Consider the following 6,000-nt stretch of genomic DNA (forward strand, 5'->3'; position numbering starts at 1 on the left):
CCCTGGCACTACCCTGTTGTAGCAAATGCTGGCTGATGAACTGTTCTGGTACATTCCCGCTGGAATGTCAGAGTGTCAGAGTGGTGGACAGTCCAGGGTGTCTCCCCTCCTTCAGCTGCCTCTCTGTGCCTTGTAAGATGAAGACACCAGAAGCCTGCCTACCTTGGCTGCAGGAAACCTAGTTCCAGAAAAGAGTTTTTGAACCAAGTGCCCTTCTCTTCCTTGAATGAATCCTCTTTGTCTAACCTTTCTGGTAAGATATTAAATGCTGGTTTTGTGCTTGCATGTGTGTTTTTATTAGTGGTTAATTTTTGACATGGTAGATCCTCTTTTCTGGTATTCTGGAAGTTATACCTTTGCGCCCTATGTTCCTGCCCCTAGTAAAAGATTCTCTGGAAACAAATTGCATACTTGCTTTTAGTATTTGAAATGCTTGATATGAGCTGTCTCCTCCAAAATCTAAGTCAATTATGATCCCAACCTTGAGCCCTCAGGACAGGAGAAAGTCCGTGGGTGTCCTCACCTGCAGCAGTCTCTGCCAAGGAGATGCATCTGGCCAGCCCTGGCCTCCTGCCCTCTGAATGAGAGATCCTCTGCCAGCCCTAGCCTCCCGCTGGAGTCTCCACCCAGACATCCATGGGGACGAGGGTGGCCAGCCTCCTACCAACCGCACCCCCGCCTCCCTTGCTCATGCTGAGTTATCACGGACTGAGCCCCTGGTGCTGGAATTTCCTGTGTGCAAATGGCCTTGGTGTTATCCTCCTCTTCCTATGTTCTGGGCGAGTCCCAGGGCAGTGGGGCATTTGCTTTGGCCTCCCTGCCCACGTTGCCCTGCAGTCTTCCTCAGCCTACCATCCACTCAGTGGCTCCAGCCAGAGGCCTTAGAACAAACCATGGTCCCCTCTGTTCCTCACACACTGCATCCACGCCCAGATGGACCTTATGCCTTTCCATCTTTCTCCATGTGCCCGGGATCCCCGTTCTACTATATCCTGTCCCCTCATGACAGCCAGGTGACGTTTTGCAACAAAACCCATTATCTACCCCCACTCCCCAAAGCCCTCCAAAATATCAGCATTGCATTAAGAATAAAATCCCAACTCCTTGCTAAATCCTGTAACTTTGGGCCCCTGCCCCCTTATCTGAACATCCCACAGGCCCCTCTTCTCACTCTTTCTGTTTTGAACCTGCTGACTTTCTCTTTATTATTGACCACATCCAGCTGTTTCCTGCCCTGGGATCTGTGCTCACGAGACTGGTGGTCTGTCTGCCTCAGCTCTCCCTCCAATGAGCAGGAGCCCTCTTCTCCGCTTCATTCCTTAGTGGAGGCTGAGCAGTCCCTCCAGATGGGGCTTCCATGCCCCTGGGTTTTCCACCACTTGGCTCCCATCTTTTTTTCATAGCAGGTAGTGGGTTTGGTCACTGCCTCTCCAGTGAGCCTGGAGGGGCCACGAGGACAGGGCAGACCCCTCCTGCTCATAAGTGGACCCCAGCCTGCACAGAAACTGGCTCCCAGCAGAGCTGGTCGTGATCTGTTGATAAAGACACAGCACCCTCTGTCCCTGGAGGTGTGGCCAGGGCACATCTACCCCGCTTTGCCTCTGTCCTTCTCACCACAACACGCTTCTTATCACTGTGCCCCCAGAATGACAGGATAGTGGTGATTGGGAAGGGGCTGAAACACACCTGACTCGGTGGATGTAGCACTCCACTGTCACACCTCATCTGTGTATGTGTGTGTGTGTGTGTATGTGTGAGCATGTGTCCATGTGTGTGCATGTGTGTATCTGTGTGTGCATGTGAGGACAGCATTTTTGGCTCTTTAAGTTTGACCTGGAATGTCCACTTTTAAATAACTGATGGCAAAGCCAAGCTGCTTGCGAAAGCAGGACCCGGTCCCAAATGCCAGTGGGGATTAAGAGGAGGTGGGACTTGTGCATCCTGGGTGGACAGGAGTCCTGAGATGTGAGCCTGGGGCCTATCTGATGACCGTCCTGAGACCCCAGCCCCACAGCAGCCCCCAGCCCACCTGCCTTCCTCAGCCTGCATGGAAGCTCCTCCATTCCCTCCAGGCTTAAATGGGAAGCCATTTCCAGACAGGAAGTGGAGAAGGGGAAAGTCAGCCATCCCATCAGCCTTTTCTGGGTATGTGGGGCTTGTCAGTGCTTGGATGGGGTCCCAGGCGGCTGGGGCGTTCTCACCAGGAACTGGCAGTCACAGGGTGGCAGGCAGAGCTGGAAGTCAGGGCAGAGGGCGGGACAGTGCGGGGGCTGGGTCAGAGCCAGGGCAGGCCAGTGCGGTGCCAGCTCACTGCAGGCTCTGCCCAGAAGTGTGTGGCAAAGACAGATTTCAGGTGTGGGTGTCTGGGATGAAGGCAGAAAGCAGGGAGAACTCAGATGGAAGATTCTGGAATAGGATTCACAGAGTCAATGGTCTGGGGGTCTCAGTGTAACTGGTGACGATAGCAGGGAGGGGGCCTCCCTGGGGACGGGGGTGGGTACAGAGGAGACAGGCCACACCCTGCTGGGCAAGGATGGCTTCCTGTGGGTCACCAGGGAGGTTGCAGGAGAAAAAATTACAGAGCTTGCCCAGAATATGCCACCCTGTTTTTGGGGTTTTATGGTGGTAAAGCTAAGTCTGCAAATTGCACTTAGAATAAATGCAAACGTATCTGGTGGCATTTTGTTTCTCTCTCATTGCCAGTCTTCTGGAATCAGGGCTGTTGTGTGTTGATCTGGGACTCCCGGGCCCTGCCTCTGTCCCTGGCCTCGGCCTGCTGGCTTGTGTGGGACCTGAATTTCGGGAGCTGTGTGCTGCGTCCTCCCGCTTCCCTATCTGGCCTGTTCTGCAGGATGGGAGGGCCAGGGGCTGGGAGTGTGTCCCCTCCCACCCTCCCTTGGAGGCTGAGCTTGGTCCTTTCAGGAGCATCAGGGTAGAGCTCCACTGAGATGGAGCCACTGCTGACTCCTTTGGTGAAATGATCCATAAGCCCCTGACTTCTCTGTCCTGAGAATTTGATTTCTTACTTTTCCAGGCTCGTTTAAAAGGAGGCACGGTGGCAACTCAGCTTATTATGGAGACTCTTTACTGCAGCAAACACACTTGCTCTTTCTCTTCTAGTTTCCTCATCTGTAAAAACAATCACAATTGTCCCCGACACATCTCCACCGAGAGTTCCTGAATGCCGTGGGAATAGTGTGCTGTTAGGGGAATTATTCTGGTTTCCAGGGCGATGTGTGTGCTGGGAGGGCCCTGAAATGGTGGTTGGGGGTGGGGAGGGGTGGGAAGGATGTGGAGGAGGCACCCAATTTCTCAGGAGCTGGTGCTTCTCCCTGCCCTCCCTCCCATGGGAGGAAGCAGCCGAAACTTGATAAGGGTTGTATTGCTTTTACCAATAAAGGGTTTCTCCTGCCGCCGCAGGCGGGGTCTGTCGTGGCTCTGCAGACATCGCACACACTCCTTCTTCACTGGGCCCCGCAGGGACTCAGGAGACAGGGCAGTGGTGGACGCTGTGCCTGCAGAAAGGACCCTGTCCCTGCCCACGGAATTGCTGTGATGAGGATGCTCCGCTGGGGGACTCCTGGTCGTGAGTCCAGGATAAAAGAATGTCTTGTTCTCAAGTGGAGAGGGCCCCAGAACGGGGATTTGAGGTGGAGCATTTTGAATTGGCGTGAATCCAAATGATTGCATACTCCAAAATATGACCTGTGTTCTCCTGACAGAAATGCACACAGGGGAAATCAAGCAGCCCAGACGCTGCTGGGGGGCAAGCGCAACTGGCAAGAGGCGGTCCACTCAGGTCCCATGCCATGGTGCATTTCCATGAGCCGGGGAGTTATGGGATATTCTACCTGGGTAAAAGTATTCTTCACACTCAGAAAGCAATTGTGTAGCCCTTTAGAGCTCACTCGTGTCAGGTGCAATGCAACTAGCTATGTACCTGTCCACTCCTGTTGCCACTTGCAGATTCCCTGAGGGCAAGGACTGGGCCTCTCCTCCCTCCCTCCCTCCATCCCTCTCTCCCTCTTCTTCTTCTTCTTCTTTTTTTTTTAGACAAGACAAGGTGTTGCTCTTGCTCTGTTCTACAGGTTGGTGTGCAGTGGCACCATCATGGCTTACTGCAGCCTCAACCACCCAGGCTCAAGTGATCCTCTCTCCTCAGCCTCCTGAATAGCTGGGACCACAGGCAGGCACCACCATGCCAGGCTAATTTTTAAACTTTTTGTAGAGCCAGGGTCTTACTATGTTGCCCAAGCCGGTCTTGAACTCCTGGGCTCAATCAATCTTCCTGCTTTGACCTCCCAAAGCACTGAGATTGCAGAAGTGGCTTTCTTCTCTCCCTTCCTCCCTCCCTCCCTTCCTCTCCCCCTTCTCTTCCTTACTCCTTCTTTCAGATCCCCAAAATACAGTTGCTGGAATGTGTAAGTGTTTAAAATAGAAAATATATTTATCTTGCTGATTAAAGAGCAATACCCATTTATTGATAATAACTCGGAAATATAGAAAAGGGAAAAAGAGAAAATAATATATAATTCCGCCACCCAAAGGTGGCCACTGAATAGATGTTTGTTTTGACTTATTGAGGCATTCAAAGCATGTTGGTGCATGGTTTTTAGACTACTTTTACACCCATTGTTTAGTCACTTGAACTTTTATGTGTCATAATCTCTCCACATAAGCTTATTTTAATGGTTTGAATGTATCACAGGACGTGATGGATGAGGCTGTTTTTTACTCATATAAAAAACACTGAGAAAAACATCTTTGCAGGGATTTATTTAAATATCAGATTTGCTTGTCTTTTTGAAGACTTTCATGGATAAGGCAAATTATTTCCATTTGGAATTAAGAAGAAGGAGAATGGCATGGAACGTTTTTCATGGAAAGCAGCCATGTGCTGTGGCTGCTTTGGAATCCAGGCAGTGTGATTTGGGGCTGTGGCTCCCCCACCCGCATCTGCAGTTCACCGCTGCCTTTTGACCTTACCTTTCAGAAGGGCCACAGGCATATATCAGTATCTCAAATAAGAAGAGAGCTGGGGTGGTGCAGGCCTGGAAATGGTGTCCTGAACAGTTGGAGGAAAGGGAGATGGAGCAGAGAGGACGATCTGCACGGAGATGTAGCCACGACATAACCACAGAAGACACTTCATCTCCTCTACTGCGTCCTCAACCAGTGGGCTAGGTTTTTCTCTTGGCCCGGGCCTTCCTCCTGACTTCTCTGCTCTCATTGAAATGATTTAACATCCTACGTTCACTTTGAATTCATGGTCTCCATTCTGTAAAGGAAAAACAAAAACAAAACTGTCCACCTAAAAGTCACAACTCTAAATTGACCTTCACCTCCAGTCTCTTCCTGTCCCCTGCTGGCCCTGGCATGGCTGCCTCTGGGCTGGCTCTCCTCTCCTAGGTGGGGTGGAGGTTCTTGCTTGATGGTTCAGTTGTAGATGGTTTGTGCTCTTTGGTCCCGGCAGATGTCTCAGCTGAAGTTCTCCCCTAAGGCTGATTTTTTATGTCCTCAGGGGCTCCCTGTGGTGTGAGAGAGGTTTGCATCTAATCCTGGGAACCTGTGTATGGGAGGTTACATGGCAGAGGGAACCAAGCAGGCAGTGGAACTAAGGGTGTCAATCAGCTGACTTTTTTTTTTTTTTTTTTTTTTTTTTGAGAGGGAGTCTTTCTCTGTTGCCCAGGCTGGAGTGCAGTGGCGCAATCTCGGCTCATTGTGATCTCCACCTCTCGGGTTCAAACGATTCCCCTGCCTCAGCCTCTCGAGTAGCTGGGACTACAAGCGCCCGCCACCACGCCCGGCTAATTTTTTAAATTTTAGTAGAGAGGGGTTTCACCGTGTTGGCCAGGATGGTCTCGATCTCCTGACCTCATGACCCATCCGCCTCAGCCTCCCAAAGTGCTGAGACAGCTGACTTTTTAATAGGAAGACTACCCCAGACTATCTGGGTGGGCCTGATGTAATCCCCAGTGTTCTTATAATGGAACAGCGACC

The sequence above is a fragment of the Homo sapiens genome, chromosome 2 (assembly GCF_000001405.40).
Source record: "Homo sapiens chromosome 2, GRCh38.p14 Primary Assembly".
Lineage (NCBI taxonomy): Eukaryota > Metazoa > Chordata > Mammalia > Primates > Hominidae > Homo > Homo sapiens.